Genomic DNA, 24,305 nt, shown 5'->3' with positions numbered 1-24,305 from the left:
GAAAGGAATTGAAAAATTAATTGAGTCATGTTAATTTTTTTTTTTTTTTCTGAGACAGCGTCTCACTCTTTCACCCAGGCTGGAGTGCAGTGGTGCAATCTCGGCTCACTGCAACCTCCGCCTCCCAGGTTCAAGCAATTCTCATGTGCCTCAGCTTCCCAAGTAGCTGGGATTACAGGTGCCTGCCATCATGCTCGGCTAATTTTTGTATTTTTAGTAGAGATGGGTTTTCGCCACGCTGGCCAGGCTGGTATCAAACTCCTGAGCTCAAGCAATCTGTCCACCTTGGCCTCCCAAAGTGCTGAGGTGGCACGCCACCTCACCCAGCCAAGTCATGTTATTTCAGATGCCAAACCTACCAATGATGCTAGTAATTCAGTCGTATTACTTTCTTCAAAAAAAGCCAGCTTGTCCATTTGGTCTCGATCGTAAGATTTTACACAAATTTTTACACATTTCTGTTTTGTTAAAACTGTTAAGAAAAAAATTGAAAATATTAAGAGATTTGGCTAAAGTTTATAATTCAAATGTCATGAAATAAGCAATTTATCTTACAGGTAAAACTTCTTCAAAGACTTCAGTATGCCATTATTCTCTACATTTTCCTCTTCTACATTTTCATTCCTAACTGAAATGATTACAACTAGACACACACACAATGCTGTCATCACTGAAGAGAAGAATTTGTCTTCTTCAGTAACATACAAAGTGGGATATGAAATAAGCAATTTGTCTTCTTCAATAACATACAAGGTGGGATATGAAATAAGCAATTTATCTTACAGGTAAAACTTCTTCAAAGACTTCAGTATGCCATTATTCTCTACATTTTCCTCTTCTACTTTTCATTTGTAACTGAAATGATTACAACTAGACACACACACAATGCTGTCATCACTGAAGAGAAGAATTTGTCTTCTTCAATAACATACAAGGTGGGATATGAAATCCACCCTAGCTTCCTAAGAACTACCCTGATATACAATCCTTCACTTAAAAGTGACAATAAAATTGATGGTAGTGGTGGTTGTACAACTCTGTGAATATACTAAAAAACACTAAATTAGACACTTTAAGTGGGTGAATTATATGGTACGTGATTTTTCTCTGAATAACACTGTTACCAAAAGAATGTGATCATAAAATATTTGATACTTTTAATACAAAATTTCTTATTTACAAGGTCTAGCTATGGAGGATTATCAAGGTAAAGTGCCAGTGGTTTTTTTACTTTTTGTTTTTTGTTTTTGAGACGGAGTTTCATTCTTGTTGCCCAGACTGCAGTGCAATGGCACCACCTCGGCTCACTACAACCACCGCCTCCCAGGTTCAAGCAATTCTCCTGCATCAGCCTCCCGAGTAGCTGGGATTACAGGCATGCACCACCATGCCCGGCTAATTTTGTATTTTTAGTAGAGACAGGGTTTCTCCATGTTGGTCAGGCTGTTCTTGAACTCCCAGCCTCAGGTGATCCGCCTGCCTCGGCATCCCAAAATGCTGGGATTACAGGCATGAGCCACCGCACCTGGCCCAGTGTTATTATTATTATTATTATTATTTTCTTCCAGAGCCTTCAGATGAAATGTGCCAATGTTATGAATCAGGAAATAATGAGCATGAGTAAACAATGAAAAACAGAGTCATATTTTAGCACCTACTGTCCTGAAATAATACAAATATGAACCAAAAAAGAATCTTATTGGCAGCAGAGTTGTACTACACTGCCAAGTTTCTTCAGTCCAAGGGATAGCATTTCTTGATAAGGTACACTTTCCTGTTAGAACAATGGCACTCCACAAAGGTATTGCATGCAAATTTAATCATCAAAAAGCTAATGCCTGACACACAAACCAATGTAACAGTACAACAGAAAACTCAGAAATACAGCCATACAACTATGCCCAAGTGATTTTTTACAAAGGTGAAAAAGTTGCCAGGCTCGGTGACTCACACCTGTAATCCCAGCACTTTGGGAGGCCGAGGCAGGTGGATTACTTCAGGTCAGGAATTTGAGACCAGACTGGCCCCGTCTCTACTAAAACTACAAAAATTAGCTGGGCGTGGTCCCAGCTACACAGAAGGCTGAGGCAGGGCCAGGTGAGGTGGCTCACACCTGTAATCCTAGCATTTTGGGAGGCCAAGGTGGGCGGATCACATGAGGTCAGGAGTTCGAAACCAGCCTGGCCAACATGTTGGAACCATGTAGAAAGATGGAACCATGTAGTAGAGATGGAACCCCATCTCTACTAAAAATACAAAAAAAAATTAGCCGGGCATGGTGGCGGATGCCTGTAATCCCAGCTACTTGGGAGACTGAGGCAGAAGAATTGCTTGAACTCGAGATCACACCACTGCACTCCAGCGTGGGCAACAGAGCAAGACTCCATCTCAAAAAAAAAAAGAAGAAGAAGAAGAAGGCTGAGGCAGAAGAATCGCTTGAGCTCAGGAGGTGGAGGCTGCAGTGAGCCAAGATGGTGCCACTGCACTCCAGCCTGGGGGACAGAGCAAGCCTCTGCCAAAAAAAATTTGAAAAGGTGCAAAAGCAATTTCACGGAGGAAGGATAGATAGTCTTTTCAAGAAACCATGCTAAAGAAATTAGATATCTATAGGCAAAAAAAAAAGTTAATCTCAACCTTTCACATCTTCCAACAACAAAAAACCCAAAATGTATCACAGACTTAAATGTGTGAACCCCAAATACCGGAAACAGGTCTCATTCAGTATAGAAAGTTTATGTTGCCAGGTGCAGTGGTTCACACCTGCAATCCTAGCACTTTGGGAGGCCGAGGTGGGTGGATTACCTAAGGTCAGGAGTTCGACCAGCCTAGCCAGCATGGTGAAACCCCATCTCTACTAAAAATACAACAACAACAAAAAAAAATTAGCTGGGCGTGGTGACGGGTGCCTATAATCCCAGCTACTCGGGAGCCTGAGGCAGGAAAATCACTTGAACCCAGGAGGTGGAGGTTGCAGTGAGCCGAAATCGTGCCACTGCACTCCAGCCTGGGAGACAGAGTGAGACTTCATCTCAAAAAAAAGAAAGAAGGAAGGAAAGAAAGGAAGGGAGGAAGGGAGGGAGGGAAAAAGAAAGGAAGGAAAGGGAAGGAAAGAGAAAGAAAGAGAAAGCAAGAAAAGAAAGAAAGAAAAGAAAGAAAGAGAAAGGAAGGAAGAGAAAGAAAGAGAAAGAAAAAGAGAGAGAGAGGGAGGGAGGGAGGAAGGAAGGAAAGAAGAGGGGAAGCCGAAGGGGAAAGGGAAAGGAAAGGAAAGGTTCCAGATGTTACTAATCATGTTTCTTTGTTAGGGAGCCTGCTGAAATAAAGAATAAAGAGCAAGGAGTAGATATAAACAGTCAGAGAAAAGGCAAATAAAAAATATAAAAAGGATGCTATTTCTTACATGTGTTTGGCAAGAGGTTTGCTCAAAACACTGCTATCAATATTTCTCACAGGGAAAGGCAAGCTCCAGGTTTGAAAAGTAAACATGCTGCACCTAGAACTAGCCTTTAAAAACTCCTAGAACCTTAAAGTTGGCTAAGTCTATAGTCAGATGGCACCAGCACCATTCTCAACTTTGTGTGCATTTGTGATGCCTTCTACCAGAATACCCCCCTACACCCTAGATTAGGCAACTAGAGATCAGAACATAAGTCTTATTTATTAATACTTTTTGAATTGATTACTTGCAAGAAAAATTCCTTTTGAGTCAGCTTACAATGAAAACAACGAGGCTACTAAGGAAGGGAGCCAAGAAATTACTGGTGGTTGAGGGACACGCTGAAGAGGAATTGTGCCAGGAATCCCTGGCTAAAGAAAAGTAATAATGATGACAGTTACCATTTATTGAAAGCTTACTATGTGCAAGGTGCCGTCGTAAGTGCTTTTCATGTACTATCTCATTTTATTCTCACAAATCTCTAGAAGTAAATAACACTATGTTTGCAGAGAAAGGACCCAGGAGACCCAAGTGGATTAACAAGAATTAGGGGGGTAAGAGTGTGAGACCATATGAGTGAGGGGTAACACAGCATGGTGGGGATGTATTTAAGAAAGACCACAATGAGTGTATGTGTCCAGAATGGAAGATTGTGTAAGAACACGAGGGAAAGGGTGGAGGGAAGGGAAGGGTTACAGATGCTGAGAGGGAACCGAAGGCGTTGGGGAGGAGGGGAGGAGTTAGTTGAGGCAGGAGAGAAGCCAAAAGGGAGGTGGAGGAGCAGCCAATAGGGAGGGAAGTGGGAAGGACTTAGAGGAAGGAGGAGGAGCAGTAAAAAGGAAAACAGAAGAGCAGAGGGGAAGAGACTAGAAAAAGCAGCAGTGAGGAGGAAGGTAAAGGAGAAGAGAGGGAGGGGTAGGGAGAGGAGCCGAGAGGGAGGGGAAAGAGAAGGAGATGGGAGAGGGCGTAGCATCCAGGAGAAAGGAGGAGGGGGAGGAGCCGAGAGAGCACTGGCAGAACAAAAAGAGACTGGGTAAGGAGTCGATAAGGGGGGGAAGGGGAGGAGCCAAGATAAGAAGGTGGGGCCGAAACAGTAGGCGTTGGAGCCGAGAGGGAGAAGGAAGAAGACGAGATGAGAGGGAAGGGAGGGAGCAGAAAAAGAAGAGGAAGGGGAGGAACTGTGAGGAAGGAGGAGATACTGAGAGGGCGGGAAAGATCCGCGAAGTGGGAGACTCCGAGATTGAAAGCCCCTGAGACATACCCACAGGGAAGGCAATGGCATTCCGGGTCCAAGTCCATGAGCTCTCGGCCCTGGTCGTCCCCTATCGGCCCTATACCCCTACCCGAAGCCTTCCCCTCACATCTCTCTCACTCCCTCCAATCCTCACCTGACAAAATGCGATTTCTCGCTCCGCCTGGCAGAAGTTGACCGCGGCTAACCTGGGAAGGTAGAAAGCCGTGCAGCGGGCGGCCCTGAAGCCTCAGGAGCAGCCCCAGCCTCAGCAGCCACCTCAGCCCGGAGAGGGCGGGCCACTGGCGCTCGAGGTTGGTTCCCACGCGGAAACCACGAGTACTCATTTCGGGAGCCGGCTCAGGCACTCGGGAACACACACATGAAATCGGCACCCGTGGAGGAAATAAGCGGAAATGACAAGAGCCTCGGACAGGGAACAGCCGAGGCCGGCTAGTGGCACTATAACTCCCAGGACGGCCACTTAGTCGGGATAGAACATGGTTCGCAACCCGGTTGCTAGGGCGCCAGTAGGCGGGCATCGTGAGCTGTCGCGGTGCGCATGCGTGGGGATCCCCGCCGAGCCGAGCCGCCCCGCCCCGCCCCGCCATCCCCAGACTTCCCCGCCTCGCCCTTTCCCGTGGCTCTGGCGGTGCCTTGCGCTCTGCCTCGCTTGCAGCCACGCTAGGCCCTGCACAGGTTGGGGGGGGCGAAGGGAGGCTGTCCTAGAAGTTTCATCATAGCAGGGGCTCGCCTCCTCCCGAGGTTGCCTTTCTTAGTCCCAAACTAGCAGTGTTACCGCCCCTGCCATCTTCATTTCTGGCTGCAGGAATTAGGGGGTGTGGCATTCTAGGGCCGCACGGTCCAGTGCGGTGCCTATGAGGCACTTAAAATGCAGCTTTTCCGAGTTTGATGTTCTGTAAGTGTAAAATGCACTCCAGCTACCAAAGACAAAAAGAAAGTAAAACATTTCGACCTGCGCGGTGGCTCAGGCCTGTAACCCCAGTACTTTGGGAGGCCGAGGTGGGTGGATCACCAGAGGTCAGGAGTTCGAGCCCAGCCTGACCAATATGGTGAAACCCCGTCTCTACTAAAAATACAAAAATTAGCGGGCGTAGTGGCGTGCGCCTGTAGTCCCAGCTACTCGGGAGGCTGAGACAGAAGAATTGCTTGAACCTGGGAGGTGGAGGTTGCAGTGAGCCGAGATCACACCACTGCACTCCAGTCTGGGCACCAGAGCGAGACTCCGTCAAAAAAAAAAAAAAAAAGCGTGAGGGGGGCCGGGCGCGGTGGCTCACTCCTGTAATCCCAGCACTTTGGGAGGCCCAGGCGGTCGGGTCACGAGGTCAGGAGATCGAGACCAGCCTGACCAACATGGTGAAACCCCATCTCTACTTAAAAATGCAAAAATTAGCCGGACGTGGTGGCGGGCGCCTGTAATCCCAGGTACTCAGGAGGCTGAGGCAGAAGAATCGCTTGAACCCGGGAGGCGGAGGTTACAGTGAGCCGAGATCGTGCCACTGCACTCCAGCCTGGGCAACAAGCGAGACTCCGTCTCAAAAAAAAAAAAAAAAGAAAAAGAAAACATTTCTAATTACTGCATGGGTGATTGAAATCATAATATTTGGGGTCCACTGCGTTGAATAAAACATTACTAAAACCAATTTAACTTGCTTCTTTTAATTTTTTTAATGTGGCTACTTGGAAATGTAAAATTACATAGTATGTGACCTGCATTATATTTCTATTGGATAACGCTAGTCTTGGAAGGAGGATGGAAGGGCAAAAGACTAAAGAAAAGGGAGGTGGAGGTGGAGTCCTGCTCTATGCTATTGGAAGAAAGTCTTCTTTCTCTTAGCGGCGGGGACCTTATTTTACGACCTCTGTTAAGAATCCTGTCTTACCTTTTTCTCCTTGTGGTGTACTATAATGCAAAGTGCTTGCATGTGGACCAAGAGAGTATTGTAGGTATGATAGGACACAGATAGTAGAAGAGCTTGTTATTTTTCCTTCTTGTGTTTCAAGAGCTTTGGAGAACAAGAGGTCACTTGTTTACGCTGAGTCGTGTGCGCCTTGCCAAGTGCCTTTCTGTCCAAGTTCCCTCGCTCCTAGAGGTCTGTGTCTCCTGGTGATTGGCAGGCGGCGATTCAAGACAACAAAGGCATCGTGCTGGCGGTGAGCCGAGGCGTGTAGAAATATATCAAGTTAACTCTTGGACTAGAGATGTTGAAAAAGTTGTAGGAGAAATGAAAGGAAATATGCGAATGATGAGAAATAAGGGAATTGTGAGAGTGAAAAGGTTGAACTTGATCAAAAGGAGTGGAGAAGCCCATGTCAAGATTTGCAGGGCAGAATAGCATGATTGCCAGGGCACATCCTTTGTGAAGAGGAATGGGAAATTGGAGCTAGCAAGCGTGAGAGCGGTCACGGTTGGAAGTAACCAGAGCTTGGATAAAAATTCTGTGCTTTACCGCTGCATTAGTATGGCTCTCTGGTCTGCCTTTGGTTGAAAACGTGTATAATAAAAAAAACAGGACAGCCTCCCAGGCCTAGTCCTGGAGCTTGGATACCAGCTCCTCCAGGTGCCAAGGAAGCAAACCTTAGGAGGGCCCGCCGCTCCACAAGAAGGTGTGAGCTTTACATCCCTGCCTCCCAGGTCACCTCCAGGACGTAGGCCCCGACCCTGGTCAGACTCTAACAGTGACATTGAGGTCTTCCTTTAAGGCTCCCTGCAGGGACGGCGTATGCCTATGTCAACCTCAAGAAGTGAAGCATCACCAAAGTCTACAAGACGCAGCTCTCCTGATGCCACCAGTGTGTTGTTGTCGCCAGCTCCAGCCACCTGCTGGGCACCAAGCCAGTCCTGGAGATAAGCTGAGACTGTGCACCATCCACGTAAACAGCACACCCACCACGGGCTACTCAGCTGATGTGGGCAACACGACTACCTTCCAGAAGCCTATTAACCCATTCCAGCATATTCTGTATATTTTGGAGGCTCTAGGAGTTGGTCAGCCGGCCCATCCAAACCATGTTCATCTTTTGCTTCCTTACAACCCTGCAACATGTATGAGGACCCAGAGCAGCAAAAGCATCCACCAGGCAGGCCTGGTTTTCTCCAACAACAAAGCCTGTGAGACGGCAAGGACAGGTACTAGCCTCCCCGCCTGCCACCTCTGGCCAGCCCTGTACACTTTCTCATGTTGTATGCAAACAGGAACAGCTGTATTTCTTTCTTTCCAACATGTATGCCTTTTGTTTCTTTTTCTTGCCTTGTTGGTAGGATTTCCAATATGATGTTAAGTAGAAGTGGTGAGTGTGGAGTTTTTGGGAGAAAACCATTTCAGTCTTTCACCATTAAGTGAGATTAACAGATTTTTATAGATGCCCTTTATTGGGTGAAGGAAGTTGCCTTCTGAGTTCGCTGGAAGTGTTCATCATATTGAATTTTATCAAATTTTTTGCACCAATTGCTATGATCTTCTTTTTTTCTGAAGACTATTAATGTGATGGATTACGCTGATTTTTTTGTTTGTTTGTTTGAGACAGAGTTTTGCTCTGTGGCCCAGGCTGGAGTGCAGTGGCGCGATCTCGGCTCACTGCAACCTCTGCCTCCTGGGTTCAAGCAATTCTCCTTCCTCAGCCCCGTTAGTAGCTGGGATTACAGGTATGCACCACGATGCCCGGCTAATTTTTTGTATGTTTAGTAGAGATGGGGTTTCACCATATTGGTCAAGCAGTCTTGAACCCCTGGCCTCAAGTGATCCACCCGCCTCGGCCTCCCAAAGTGCTGGGATTACAGGCATGAGCCACTGCACTCAGCCTACCTTGATTTTCAAGTACCGAATCAGCCTTGTGTCTCTAGAATAAACCCTACTTGGTTGGTTGTTGTGTTAAAAATAAAAATGAAAAAGTGGCCGGGCGCGGTGGCTCACGCCTGTAATCCCAGCACTTTCGGAGGCCGAGGCGGGTGGATCACCTGAGGTCGGGAGTTCGAGACCAGCCTGACCAACATGGAGAAACCCCATCTCTACTAAAAATACAAAATTAGCCGAGTGTGGTGGTGCAGACACTTAGGGTTCTGGAGCAAGGCCATGCCATCTAGAAGCAGAAAGCTATATACCATTTGAAAGCAGCTCCTGGTTTGCTCCGGACCCTGGAAGAGATTGACCAGTTGCTCTTCAGATTTTTTTTTTTTGAACCGGAGTCTCGCTCTGTCGCCCAGGCTGGAGTGCAATGGTGTGATCTCGGCTCACTGCAACCTCTGCCTCTTGGGTTCCAGTGATTCTCCTGCCTCAGCCTCCTGAGTAGCTGGGATTACAGGCATGGGCCACCACACCCAGGTAATTTTTAGTAGAGACAGGGTTTCGCCATGTTGACCAGGCTGGTCTCGAACTCCTGACCTCAGGTGATCCACCTGCGTCAGCCTCCCAAAGTGCTGGGATTACAGGTGTGAGCCACTGTGCCCGACCAAATAAAATTTTTTAAAATGAGAGTAAGTGTAGATGACAAAGATAATAATGCCCTCTCCCTCTTGTTATGTAGCGGTAGAAATTACAAAGTTCTTTCCTAGTCATTTTATGTGATCCTCCTAGTGTTCGTATCAGGTAGGCAGGTTAGTTATTGATCTCTTTGTTTTATGTGAGATAATTGAAGAGAAGTTAATTTGCTTGTCCAACGTCACATAGCTAATAGATGACCAAGCTGAGGTTAGAAAGCAGGTCTTCTGGCTGGGTGCGGTGGCTCACGCCTGTAATCCCAGAACTTTGGGAGGCGGAGGTGGACAGATCACGAGGTCAGGAGTTCAAGACCAGCCTGGGCAAGATGGTGAAACCCCGTCTCTACTAAAAATACAAAAATTAGTTGGGCGTGGTGGTGCACGCCTGTAATCCCAGCTACTCAGGAGGCTGAGGCAGGAGAATTGCTTGAACCCGAGAGGTGGAGGTTGCAGTGAGCCGAGATCACAGGATTGCACCTCAGCTCTGGGCAACAGAGCAAGACTCCGTCTCCGAGAAAAAAAAGAAAGAAAGCCGGTCTTCTTATATCTAATACAGTTCTTGAATGTAATTGTGCCCGGAGTTGGTTCTTTCTCGTGGGTTTGTGGTCTCGCTGACTTCAAGATTGAATCCGCGGACCTTCCCAGTGAGTGTTACAGCTTTTTTTTTTTTTTTAAGAGACGGAGCCTTGCTCTGTCGCCCAGGCTGGAGTGCAGTGGCACGATCTCGGCTCACTGCAAGCTCCGCCTCCCAGGTTCACGCCATCAGCTTCACAAGTAGCTGCAACTATAAGTGCTCGCCACCATGCCAGGCTAATTTTTTTGTATATTTAGTAGAGATGGGGTTTTCACCGTGTTAGCCAGGATAGTGTCGATCTCCTGACCTGGTGATCTGCCCACCTCGGCCTCCCAAAGTGCTAGGATTACAGGCGTGAGCCACGGCACCCGGCCGTGTTACAGCTCTTAAAAGTGGCACGGACCCAAACAGTGAGCAGCAGCAAGATTTTCTGTGAAGAGCAAAACCTGAGCAGGTTGCCACTGCTGGCTAGGACAGCCAGTTTTTATTCCCTTATTTGTCCCTGCCCATGTCCTGCTGATTGGTCCATTTTACAGAGTGCTGATTGGTCCATTTTACAGAGTGCTGATTGGTCCATTTTACAGAGCGCTGATTGGTCCATTTTACAAACCTCTAGGTAGCTACGGAGTGCTGATTGGTGCGTTTTTACAGAGCACTGATTGGTGAATTTTACAAACCTCTAGCCAGCTACAGAGTGCTGATTGGTGCATTTTACAATCCCCTTGTAAGACAGAAAAGTTCTCCAAGTCCCTACTCGACCCAGGAAGTCCAGCTGGCTTCACCTTTCAATAATGATATTAAAAGGAAGTATAAAGTATTTGTTAATTTTTAAAACTCCTTTTATGAGGTAATATAGCTGTTAATCTTCCAGCTATGTTCATTAAAAATGTTTCAGAAACAAAAGATTGAGTGAAGGCTGGGTGCAGTGGCTCATGCCTGTAATCCCAGCACTTTGGGAGGCTGAGGCAGGCAGATCACTTGAGATCAGGAGTTTGAGACCAGCCTGACCAACATGGTGAAACCTCATCTCTACTAAAAACGCAAAAATTAGCTGGGCATGGGGGCGCACGCTTGTAATCCCAGCTACTAGGGAGGCTGAGGCAGGAGAATCACTTGAACTCAGGAGGTGGAGGTTGCAGTGAGCCAAGATCATGCTGCTGGACTCCAGCCTGGGCAACAGAGCGAGATTCAGTCTCAAAAAAAAAAAAAATTGGGTGGACCATATGAATGTCAAGTTAGGCATTAAGCTTTGAGAATACTGCCTAGAGAGAGTTAACTGGAAAATCTGTGATAGGTGGTGTCACTCAAACAATTTCGCAAAAGAGAGAAAAGCAAATTATGGCACTTTACAAACCAGGTGCTTCAGGCCACATTAAAGAAAATTTCTAAATCAGACTATTGGCCAGGTGCGGTGGCTCACGCTTGTTATCCCAGCACTTTGGGAGGCCGAGGCAGGCGGATCACCTAAGGTCAAGAGTTTGAGAGCAGCCTAGCCAACGTGGCAAAACCCTGTCTCTACTAAAAAATACAAAAATTAGCTGGGCATGGTGGCATGCGCCTGTAATCCCAGCTACTCGGGAAGCTGAAGCAGGAGAATCGCTTGAACCCAGGAGGCAGAGGTTGCAGTGAACTGAGAGAGCGCCACTGCGCTCCAGCCTGGGCAACAGAGCTAAACTCTGTCTTAAAAAAAAAAAAAAAAAAAAAAAAAAAACACTATTACAGGGCTGGGTGCAGTGGCTCACGCCTGTAATCACAGCACTGTGGGAGGCTGAGGCAGGCGAATCATTTGAGGTTAGGAGTTTAAGACCAGCCTGACCAACATGGTGAAACCCCGTCTCTATGAAAAATTAGCCGGTCACGGTGGCAGGGGCCTGTAGTCCTAGTTACTTGGGAGGCTGAGGCAGGAGAATCACTTGAACCTGGGAGGTGGAGATTGCAGTGAGCCAAGATCACGCCACTGCACTCCAGCCTGGGTGATAGAGACTCTGTCTCAAAAACAAACAAACAAACAAAAAGCCAGATTATTACAACTACTAGGTCTTTAATAATTTTTTCAAGTTTCTAATCATTTACAGTTAAAGTTATCCCAGCTGCAGTTTCCATCCTCTTTCCAGTTCACTTCAATATGTACATACCCAAATTAAGTAGTGAACAAAGGAATACTGTGATCCAGTGGAATCATGTTCTATTTAAGCCATGTTTCTAGATCAGTTTATTGGAACCTCCAAAAGGGAACTAATGTCCATGGTAGGCCAAGCATGCCAGCTCCAGAGGCCACATCTTACCTTTCATGCTGTGTGCTGACAGGACCAAACTAGCCTACCCCTTGGGTTTCCTGCCTTGACTCACTTTTTTCCTCCCAATTTCCCCCAATCTAAATATGCTTCTCCCAAATTGATAGTGCAAATCTGATCATGTCTCACTGCTCTTTAAAATCCTTCACTGGACAGACAACTCAATGCAATGTGGGATCCTGAATTGGATCCTAAACAGAAAAAGGACATTAGTGGGAAACTGGTGACACCTGAATAAAGTCTGCAGTTTAGTTTAATAGTATTGTGCCAATATTTATTTCTTTGTCGCCCAGGCTGGAGTGCAGTGCCGTGATCTCGGCTCACTGCAACCTCCACCTCCCAGTTTCAAGTAATTCTCCTGCCTCAGCTTCCAAAGTAGCTGGGACTACAGGTGTGCGCCACCACACTCAGCTAATTTTTGTACCTTTAGTAGACACGGGTTTCCACTATGTGTTGGCCAGGCTGGTCTCAAAATCCTGACCTCAGGTGATACGCCCGCCTCTGCCTCCCAAAGTGCTGGGATTACTGGTGTGAGCCACCGTGCCCGGCCTATTTATTTATTTTTTATGTGATAATTACCTTTTTAAAAAATTGTTGGACGGGCATGGTGTCCCAGCTACTCGGTAGGCTGAGGCAGGAGAATCGGTTGAATCCAGGAGGCAGAGGTTGCAGTGAGCCGAGATCGCGCCACTGCACTCCAGCCTGGGTGACAGAGCAAGACTCTGTCTCAAAAAAAAAAAAAAAAAATTAAAAAAAAAAGAACTAATAAATGAGCAAAGCAAGTGCAGAATATAAGATCAATATATAAAACAGAGCACACAAAAGAAAAAAGCATAAACTAATGTCTCTCATACATGTAGACACAAAAATCCTTAATAAAATATAAGTTAATCAGGCCAGGCAAGGTGGCTCATGTCTATAATCCCAGCACTTTGGGAGGCCGAGGCAGGCGAATCGCTTAAGGCCAGGAGTTCAGGACCAGCCTGGCCAACATGGCAAAACCCTACCTCTACTAAAAATACAAACATTAGCCAGGCATGGTGGCGTGCTTTTGTAATCCCAGCTACTCAGGAGGCTGAGGCAGGAGAATCACTTGAACCCGGGAGGCAGAGGTTGCAGTGAGCCAAGATTTTGCCACTGCACTCCAGCCTGGGTGACAGAGCAAGACTACATCTCAAAAATGCAAAAAAAAAAAAGGCTGGGTGCGGTGGCTCATGCCTGTAATCCCAGCACTTTGGGAAGCCGAGGCAGGTGGATCACTTGAGGTAAGGAGTTCGAGACCAGCCTGGCCAACGTGGTGAAACCCCATCTCTACTAAAAATACAAATATTAGCCAGGCGTGGTGGCGGGCAACTGTAATCCCAGCTACTCAGGAGGCGGAGGCAGGAGAATTGCTTGAACCTGGGAGGTAGAGGTTGCAGTGAGCCAAGATCACACCACTGCACTCCAGCCTGGGCGACACAGTAAGACCTCATATCAAAAAAAAAAGACAATGCGGTACTGGCATAAGAATAGACATATAGATCAGAATTAAGAGTCCAGAAATAAATCCTTGTATTTAAAGTCAGTTGTTTTTTGACAAGAGTGCTAAGGCAATTCACTGGGAAAAGGATAGTTTACAAATGGTGCTGCAGAAAGATGCAACATGCAAAAAGATGAGCTGGACCCTCTTCACATTATGAAGAAGTTTACTCAAAATATATCATGGACTTGGCCAGGCACAGTGGCTCATGCCTGTAATCCCAGCACTTTGGGAGGCCAAGACAGGCAGATCGCGTGAGGTCAGGAGTTTGAGACCAGCCTGGTGAAAATGGTGAAACCCTGTCTCTACTAAAAATACCACAATTAGCCAAGTGTGGTGGTAGGCGCCTGTAATCCCAGCTACGCTGGAGGCTGAGGCAGGAGAATAGCTTGAACCCAGGAGGCGGGGGTTGCAGTGAGCCGAGATCATGCCACTGCACTACAGCCTGGGCGACAGAGTGAGACTCTGTCTCAAAAAACAAAACAAACTAACAAAAAACTAGACTTAATTTTTAGAGTTAAAACAATGAAACTTTTAAAAGAAAACATAGGGGAAAATCTTTGAGACCTTGGCTTAGGCAAACATCTCATGGATACAACTCTATAGGCATGTTCCATAAAAGAAAAAATATGGTAAATTTGACCTTACAAAAATTCAAAATGTTTGCACTCCAAAAGACATCATTAAGAAAATTAGGTCCGGGCACGGTGGCTCAGGCCTGTAATCCCTACACTTTGGCAGGCCGAGGCGGGTGGATCACCTGAGGTCAGGAGTTTGAGACCAGCCTGGCCAACATGATGAAACTCAGTGTCTACTAAAAATACAAAAAATTAACCAGGCATGGTGGCAGGCGTTTGTAATCCCAGCCACTCGGGAGGCTGAAGCAGGAGAATCGCTTTAACCCAGGAGGCGGAGGTTGCAGTGAGCCAAGATCGAGCCACTGCACTCCAGCCTGGGTGACAAGAGCGAAACTCTGTCTCAAAAAAAAAAAAAGAAAGGAAATCTAGGCCAGGCGCGGTGGCTCACGCCTGTAATCCTAGCACTTTGGGAGGCCAAGGCGGGCGGATCACGAGGTCAGGAGATCGAGACCATCCTGGCTAACACGGTGAAACCCCCGTCTCTACTGAAAATACAAAAAATTAGCCAGGCGTGGGGGTGGGCGCCTGTAGTCCCAGCTACTCGGGAGGCTGAGGCAGGAGAATACCGTGAACCCAGGAGGCAGAGCGTGCAGTGAGTCGAGATCGCGCCACTGCACTCCAGCCTGGGTAACACAGCGAGACTCCATTTCAAAAAATAATAATAATAATAAGGAAAATAAGAAAAAAAAAACCTCACAGACTTGGAGGAAATATTTGCAAAAGACATATCAGATAAAGGACTTGTAACCTGAATGTATGAAGAACTCTTACAACTCAATAATAAAACAATTCAATGAAAACTGGCCAAAATATATGAACAGACATTTCATCAAAGAGGACATATAAATGAAAAGCACATGAACAGGTGGTCGACATCATTTATCAGTACAGAAATGCAAATTGAAAGCACATTGAGATACTATTCCATAACCACAAGAATTGCTATAAAAATTAAGACAAGCAATAATAAATGTTGGCTAGGATGTAGAGAAATTGCAACATTCTTACATTGCTTGTGGGCTTGTATAATGGTGCAGCTGCTTTGTAAAACATTTTGGCAGCTCCTCAAAATGACAAACATAAACCTTCCATACAAGCAAGCAATTTCACTTCTGGGTACAAACCTAAGAGAAATAATGACAGGTGTCCACAACAATATTTTTATGCAAATATTCATAGCATTTGCATTATTTATAATAAAGCATTATTCATAATAGCCAAAAGCTGTAAAACAAAAACTTAAATGTCAATTGATTGATGAATGGATAGTCAATATATAGCGTATTGTTGGAGTGATCAGACCCAACACCAGGTTGTGGGGGTGACGAAGTCTGGCGGAGTCAAAGGAATGAGAAAAAGACAGTTTGAGAGATAAAGTGGGACTGTGGGGCCATTGCAAGCGTGGAGGCTGCGAAGGCCCTGAGCTCTGGGAGCCCACGCTATTTATTGTTGCTCAAACAAAGGAACAGGTGGTGAGGATGTGGGGGTTGAAAGGAAACAGTGTATCAAGTGAATGAGAAACATATGGCTGCTTGAGATAATGGGAGTACTAGAAGCAAGGAGCCAGCAAGTCTAGCAGACATGCAAGCCCTGCCTCAGTTTCTCTCCCAACACTCAGCTTTTCTCCCAATAGCGTATCCATAAAATGGAATACTATTTGGCAGTAAAAAGGAATGAGCTACTGACACATGCTACAGTATGGAGAATTCTCAACAACACACTAAGCGCAAAAAGCCAGACACACAGCTGGGCGCGATGGCTCACACCTGTAATCCCAGCATTTTGGGAGGCCAAGGCAGGTGGATCACCTGAGATCAGGAGTTCGAAACCAGCCTGGCAAACATGGCAAAGCCCTGTCTCTACCAAAAATACAAAAATTAGACGGGCATGCTGGCATGTGCCTGCAATCCCAGCTACTTGGGAGGCTGAGGCAGAAGAATCACTTGAACCCGAGAGGCGAAGGTTGTAGTGAGCCTTGATCGCAGCACTGCACTCCAGCCTGGGAGACAGAGCAAGATTCTCAAAAATTAAAAAAAAAAAATTAAAAAAAAAATTTTAAAAAGCCAGATACACAAGAGACCACATATTGTATAATTTAAAATAAAAAATGTCCAGCCGGGTGTGGTGGCTCATGCCTGTAATCCCAGCAATTTGGGAGGCCAAGGAGGGTGGATCACCTGAGGTCAGGAGTTCTAGACCAGCCTGGCCAACCTGGTGAAACCCCGTGTCTACTAAAAATACAACAAAATTAGCTGGGCATGGTGGTAGGCTCCTGTAATCCCAGCTACTTGGGAGGATGAGGCAGGAGAATTGCTTGAACCTGGGAGGCAGAGGTTGCAGTGAGCTGAGATCGTGCCGTCGCACTCCAGCCTGGGCAACAAGAGGGAAACTCTGCCTCAAAAAAAAATAATAAAAATAAAAATAAAAATGTGCAAAAGCATGTGTGGTGGTGCATACCTATAGTTCCAGCTACTCAGCAGGCTGAGGTAGGAAGATCCCTTGAGCCCAGGAGTTAGAGGCCAGCCTGGGCAAAATTGCAAGACCCTGTCTCAATAAAATAAAATAAAATGTCCAGTAAAGGTAAATTTATAGACAGAAAGTAGATTGGCAGTTGCCTGGCACTGGAGTTGGGGACAGGGTTAACTGAAAATGGGCATGAGGGATCACTTATTAGGTTAGTGCAAAAATAATTGCAGTTGTTGCCATTACTTTCTTTTTTGAGATGGAGACTTGCTCTGTTGCAGAGGCTGGAGTGCAGTGGCACCATCTCAGCTCACTGCAACCTCTCCCTCCAGGGTTGAAGCAATTCTCATGCCTCAGCCTCCCAAGTAGCTGGTATTATAGGCATGTGTCACCACAGCCAGCTAATTTTTGTATTTTTAGTAGAGACGGGGTTTTACCATGTTGGTCAGGCTGGTCTCAAACTCCTGACCTGAAGTCATCCACCCACCTTGGCCTCTCGAAGTACCAGGATTAGAGGCATGAGCCACCAACCTCTGCCTCCAAGGTTTAAGCAATTCTCCCACCTCAGCCTCCAGAGTAGCTGGGATCACGGGCATGTGCCACCATGCCCGGCTGATTTTTGTATTTTTAGTAGAGATGAGGTTTCACCATGTTGGCCGGGCTGGTCTCAAATTCCTGACCTCAGGTGATCCACCCACCCTGGCCTTCTAAAGTGCTGGGATTACAGACATGAGGCACCGTGCCTGGCCCGCAGTTACTTTTGCACCCCTAATAACTGGGGGCTACAAATGTCTTAGAACTGATTTTTCATGATGACTGTGCCACTTAGTAAAGTTGCTGAAGATCATTGAATTGTACACCTAAGATGGGTGAGTTTTATATGTAAAATATACTTTAATAAAGGCAATTTTAAAAACAAAGAATTGACTCAATGGTAGGGGCAGTAATCCAGATTTCAAAGAATAAGTGAAATTATTAGGTTAGGGGACCAGTTGGGTTAGGGGGGAAGTGTTTTAGGCAAGGAAACAAGTGCATCAGCAGAAGTCAGACTACTATTGTCTTGTTGGCCCTATAAAAAAAAAAAAAAAAAAAAAAGAAAGGCTTTTTCCTAAACACATTGGAAAGTCACTGGAGAATTATAACTATGTGAGTGTACGTGCATGTTGTGGAGGAGGGCCAGTAACATTATCAGCTCCTCTGACTACTTCATGAAGATGTGATAACAGAGGGGCCAAACCAGATGTGGAAGAACCAGCAGAAAGGCTATTTGTAGTTACTTCATGGTATGCACTCAAATGTGTCACTCTGCCCCAAAATTTATATATTGAAGTCCAAACCCCCAGAACCTCAGAATGTGACTCTATTTGGAGACAGTCTTTGAAGAGGTAATTAGGTTAAAATGAGGTCATGAGAGTGGGTGGCCGTAATCCGGTAGGACCAGTCCTTTTTCCTTTCTTTTTTCTTTTTTTTTTTTTGAGACAGGGTCTCTGTTACCCAGGCTGGAGTGCAGTGGCAGGATCAGGGCTCTCTGCAGCCTCAACCTCCTTGGCTCAAGCAATCCTCCCACCTCAGCCTCTCAAGTAACTGGGACCACAGGCACGTGCCACCACGCCTGGCTAATTTTCTTATGATAAATTGTTTTTTAATTTGGTGATGTGAACGTCATTGGTGACATGAAAGAGAGCTATTTGCGAGAAGTGATCAGAATAAAAGCCAAATTGGAGCAGGTTGAGAATTGAGTGAGAGGTGATAAAATGGAGTTAGTTGGTATAGACAACCCTTTCTTTCATTAGCTTTGTTTTTAATAACATAAGTACTACATATACTATATATATGTATATATATTCTTCTTTTTAAAAATTGAAACAGGCGAGGGGGTGCGATGGCTCATGCCTGTAATCCCAACATTTGAGGAGGCTAAGATGGGAAGATCACTTGAGGACAGGAGTTCGAGATCAACCTGAGCACCATAGCGAGACCCTGTCTCTACAAACAAAAACAAAAACAAATAGCTGGGCATGGTGGCATGACAGAGCAAGACCCTGCCTCAAAAATAAATTAATTAATAAAATAAAATTAAAAATTGATATATTACAGAGAAGACTAAAATCCCCTTTAACCACTGCCACCAATCTAGTCTTCTCCCCCACCTTTCAGAGGTAATCCTTGTTATTTGTTTGGTGTGTGTCCTTCCTGTTTTTTTCTAAGTAGTAATATATTATCATCATATATAATATAATTTTACATATACTTATATATATGTTTTACATATACATATTATGTATAGTATAACATGATGTATAGAATAAACTACTGCATTATTTTAACAGATACTTGATATTATATATTATGAGTATATCATAATTTATTTGGCCATTCCTCTACTGATGGTCATTTCAGTTGTTTTCATTTTTTCCCCAGTCACTAACAATTCTGCAAAAAAAAAAAAAAAAGCCTCATACATGCTCCCCTGGGCCTGTATGATGGTTCTTCTCTAGGGTAGACAACAAAAAGGGTATGCTTATTTAAAACTCTAATGGACAGACCGGGCATGGTGGTTCATGCCTGTAATCCTAGCACTTTGGGAGGTGGGCGGATCACTTGAGGTCACAAGTTCAAGACCAGCCTGACCAACATGGTGAAACCCTGTCTCTACTAAAAATGAAAAATTAGCCGGGCGTGGTGGCACATGCCTGTAATCCCAGTTACTCCGAAGGCTGAGGCAGGAGAATCATTTGAACCCGGGAGATGGAGGCTGCAGTGAGCCAAGATCGCGCCATTGCACTCCAGCCTGGGCAACAAGAGGGAAACTCCATCTCAAAAAAAAAAAAAAAAAAATTTCTAATAGACAGCTAGGTGCAGTGGAGCACATCTTTAGTCCCAGCTACTCAGGAGGTTGAGGCAGATGGATTGCTTGAGCCCAGGAGTTTCAAGCAGCCTGGGCAACTTAGTGGGACCCTGTATCTAAAAAATAAATAAAATAAAATAAAAATTTAATAGACACTATTTGCACTTTTTATGTTTTATTGATTGATTGATTGATTGATTGTTGATTGAAATGGAGTTTCACTCTGTCACCCAGGCTGGAGTGCAGTGGTGCGATCTCAGCTCACTGCAACCTCTACCTCTGCCTCCCGGGTTCAAGCCATTCTTGTGGGTCAGCCTCCCGAGTAGCTGGGACTACAGGTGCACGCCACCACACCTGGCCAATTTTTGTATTTTTTTTAGTAGAGATGGGGTTTCACCATGTTGACCAGGCTGGTCTTGAACTTGTGACCTCAAGTGATCCGCCCACCTCAGCCTCCCAAAGTGCTGGGATCACAGGCGTGAACCACCATGCCCGTCCTAGTATTGTTATTTATAAGCAAAATGTTTTATAGCAGATCTCTAGAACTTACTCATCTTGCATAATTGAAATTTAATGCACATTGATTAGCAACTACACATTTCCTCCCCTCCCTAGTCCCTGGCAACCAGCATTCTATTCTTTGCTTTTATGAGTTTGACTATTTTAGCTACTTCATACAAGTGGAATCATGTAGTATTTGTCCTTCTGTGACTGGCTTATGTCACTTAGCATAATGTCAATTCACCCATGCTGTCATATACTGCAGGATTTCCTTTATTTTTTATGCTGACGACTCTTTTAAGATGTTTGGCTGTGGAGGAGAGGAAAACTATCATGAGGTAACTAGAAGGACATGAACCATTAAGAGAGGAGTTTTTGTATATGAGAAAGGTTTGAGCATGTTTATGTATACAAGAAAGTTCCAGTTGAGAAGGAGTGGTTGAATACACAGGAGGGAAAAAAAGAACAATTAATGATATAAAATTCTTAAGAAGACACGGCCAGGCGTGGTGGCTCACGCCTGTAATCCCAGCACTTTGGGAGGCCGAGGTGGGTGGAGTTCAAGACCAGCCTGGCCAACATGGTGAAATCTCATCTTTACAAAAATACAAAAATTAGCCGGGCATGATGGTGGGTGGTTGTAATCACAGCTACTCAGGAGACTGAGGCGAGAGAATTGCTTGAACCCAGGAGGCAGAGGTTGCAGTGAGCCGAGATCAAACCATTGCACTCCAGTCAGGGCGACAGAGTGAGACTCCCTCTTAAAAAAAAAAAAAAAAAGGCAGAGAGAACATTATCTGAAGCACAAGTAGAAGGGTAGGCCTTAGATGAAAGGAGGTATTATTTTTTTCTGTTGCAGTGGTTCTCTAACCTGAGTGCACCAGAATTTTCCTGGAGGGATTGTTAAAGCATAGAATGCTGCCCCTTCCTTCACCCTACCCCATAATTTGTGATTCTGTAGGTTGGGGATGAGGCTGCAAATCTGCATTTCTAACTACTTCCCAGGCGGTGTTGATGCTGCTATTCTGGGGGAACTAACAACACTTTGGGAATCACTATTCTGTGTAGCAGGAGAAAAAGAAGATAGGATGGGTACAGAACTGGGTAGATATATATGTTTGGTAACCAGAAGATAAGGGAGTTCCTATCAGATGGCTTCTTTTTTCTCTGTAAAATAGGAGTTTGGGTCAAATATTAAAAGTGTGAGTGCAGGGGGGACTTGGTGCTGGAGTAGAAGGTTACAGAAGAATGGAATAGGTTTAACAAAAATGATTGCAGAAGGTAGGAGAGTGAATTGACCAAAGATGTAAAGTAGAATTGTTAGGTGATATATGGATCTGTCATTTGACATCTGTGATCATGAATTTTATAATAGACTCAATCTACTCCATTGAAAATCTGTGACTTTTTCCAGTTGATGTAGACAATGAATTAGTGGCTTCCACCAAGACTGAGGTTTTGTCACCCTAGTATCTCAAAAAAACATCCAATAGCTCATGCCAAAACCTGGAATCACCTTTGGTTCTGCCCCCATTCCCCACAGTCAATCCACTATCATTTTTTATTAATATTTAAATAAGATGGGGTCTTGCTATGTTGCCCAGGCTAGTGTTGAACTCCTGGGCTCAAACAATCCTCCCGCCTTGGCCTCCCAAAGTGATGGGTACAGGCATGAGCCACCACACCCAGCCATCCACTATCATTATTGATAGCTAACAATTAATATAGTGCTTCTGTGCTCTAGGAATGGTTCTAAATGCTTTGTGAATATTACTCCTCACACTTCCTATAAATATGACTATCCCCATTTTGTAAATGAGGAGACTGAGGCAGAGAGAGATTATGGATTTGCCCAAATTCACACAGCTAGGAAGTGGCAGAGCTGCGCTTCAAGCCAGGCAGTTATCACCAGAGTCCATGTTCTTAGCTAGGCTAGTGTGCATTGTTTCAACTTCCTAAATATATTTCTGATCTATCTACTTCTCTCCATCTCCATGACCACTAACCTAGTCTGAGTCACATCATCTCTCACTCAAACTACTGCCTTTAACTCCTAAGTGGTTTTCCAGCTTCCACACTTGGCCCCTTGTAACTCATTCTCCACACAGCTGCCAGAGTGGTCTTTCAAAAACATAAATCAGGCTGGGTGCGGTGGCTGGCGCCTGTAATCCCAGCACTTTGGGAGGTCGAAGTGGACGGATCACCTGAGGTCAGTAGTTCTAGACCAGCCTGGCCAACATGGTGAAACCCCGTCTCTACTAAAAATACAAAAATTAGCTGGGCATGGTGGCATGCGCCTGTAATCTCATCTACTGGGGAGGCTGAGGCAGGAGAATCACTTGAGCCCAGGGGGCGGAGGTTGCAGTGAACTGAGATAGCGCCATTGCACTCCAGCCTGGGCGACAGAGCGAGACTTCGTCTCAAAACAAAAACAAAAAACCTACAAATCAGCTCAAATTATTTTCCTGGATTAAAGTCCTTCAACGGCTTCTCATTCTTAGCCCAAACTCCCAGCCATGATTTACAAGGTTCTGGATGATCTGACACTTTCCTAACCCTCCAGCTTAATCATTTATCACTGTTATTCCTTGATTACTGTTTTCCAGCCATAGTGGCTTCATTTCAGTTCTTCAAATACATGAAATTATTTTCCTCAACAGAGCCTTTGCATATGCTGTTGTTATTGTCTACACTGTTCTTTCTACAGTTCTTCTCATGGGTGGTTGTTTCTCATCCTTGAACTCTCAGCTTCCATGAAACTTCTTTAGAGAGCTTTTCTCTGACTATTCGAAGTAGATTTCCTCCCCTTGCACATACATACTTTTTATTCTGTATTACTGCAACTTGTTTTTTTATAGCAGCTTTCACTTTTTGTTTGTTTTTTTGTTTATTTTCTCACTGCCCCCCACCCCCATCCTCACTAGACTGGAAGCTTCATGAGAGCAGGGGGCCAAATCTGTTGTATTCATTCACCATTGTATACCAGCCCTATACGATAGTGTCTAACGCATATTTGGTACGCAATAAATATTCATCAAGGGAATTAGTGAATGAATTTAAGGCAGCCAAGTGATAATGTCAAGTGGGAAGTTGGATATGCAAGTTGGGGAGCTCAAGACTAAGATTTGGCATAGAAATATAAATCTGAGAGTCTTAGGAATATTTATTGTAATTAACACCCTGGGAATGGATGAAATTGCCTAAGGAGTAAGGACAGAATGAAAAGACAAGAGGGTCTAGCGACAAAGCTGGAGAAACTTTAACATTTAAAGATCCACTACAGAAGAATGAACCATCAAAGTAGTTTGAGAATGAATGAATGCTTTTATTGTCAAATGAGTCAGTCTTTTCTTTCATGCCATCTGGATTTTATGTAAGGAAATCCTTTTGGTTCTACCTTCAAAATATATTCAGAAGCCAATTACTTCTTACCACCTCCACTGCTACCACTTTGATCCAAGGCACTATTTATAAAAGTCTCCTAACTGGTCTCCCTGCTTTCACCCTTGCTCCCTACAGTGTATTCTCAACACAGCAGCCAACGTGATCCTGTTGCAATGTAAGTAAGATACATCACTCCTGTGCTCTAAGCCCTCCAGTGACTTCCCATTTCACACACAGTAAAAGCCAAAGTCTACCATGGCCTACATGAACCTACATGATTTGACTCCTCTGCTACTTATCAACCTCATCTCCTACTACTACTCTTGTATTCTCCCACTCAGTTTTAGCCATACTGACCTCCTTACTGTTCTTAGAACATGGTAGGTATATTTCAGTCTTCCCAGCATGCTCTTCTCCTGGATATCTACGTGTTTACTTCCTCCTTTGTGTTTGCTTCAACGTCACCTCTCTTAAGCATGTGTGACTTTTTTGGTTTTTTTTTGAGATGAAGTCTCGCTCTGTCGCCCAGGCTGGGGTGCAGTGGCGCGATCTCAGCTCACTGCAACCTCTGCCTCCTGGGTTCAAGAAATTCTCCTGCCTCAGCCTCCTGAGTAGCTGGGACTACAGGCACGTGCCACCACACCTGGCAATTTTTTTTTTTTTTTTTTTTTGTATTTTAGTAGAGACGGGGTTTTCACCGTGTTAGCCAGGATGGTCCTGATCTCCTGACCTCATGATCAGCCCACCTTGGCCTCCCAAAGTGCTGGGATCAGAGGTGTGAGCCACCGCGCCCGGCCTTGTGTGTGGGTTTTTTGAGACAGAGTCTCTCTCTGTCGCCCAGACTGGAGTGCAGTGGTGCGATCTCAGCTCACTGGAGCCTCTGCCTCCCAGGTTCAAGCGATTCTCCTACCTCAGTCTC

General features: G+C 45.2%; 1 annotated feature.

Annotated features, from left to right (window-relative positions):
* Positions 5,538 to 5,587: an enhancer, noted in NCBI's record as "active region_30000". NCBI's record gives its function as "activates an Ori minimal core promoter by ATAC-STARR-seq in GM12878 lymphoblastoid cells {active_cell/tissue: GM12878}" and the evidence as "EXISTENCE:reporter gene assay evidence [ECO:0000049][PMID:35858748]".

This window comes from Homo sapiens, chromosome X (assembly GCF_000001405.40).
Source record: "Homo sapiens chromosome X, GRCh38.p14 Primary Assembly".
NCBI classification, from domain to species: Eukaryota; Metazoa; Chordata; class Mammalia; order Primates; family Hominidae; genus Homo; species Homo sapiens.
The sequence above is the reverse complement of the archived record's forward strand: the minus strand, read 5'-3'. Positions and strand labels throughout refer to the sequence as shown.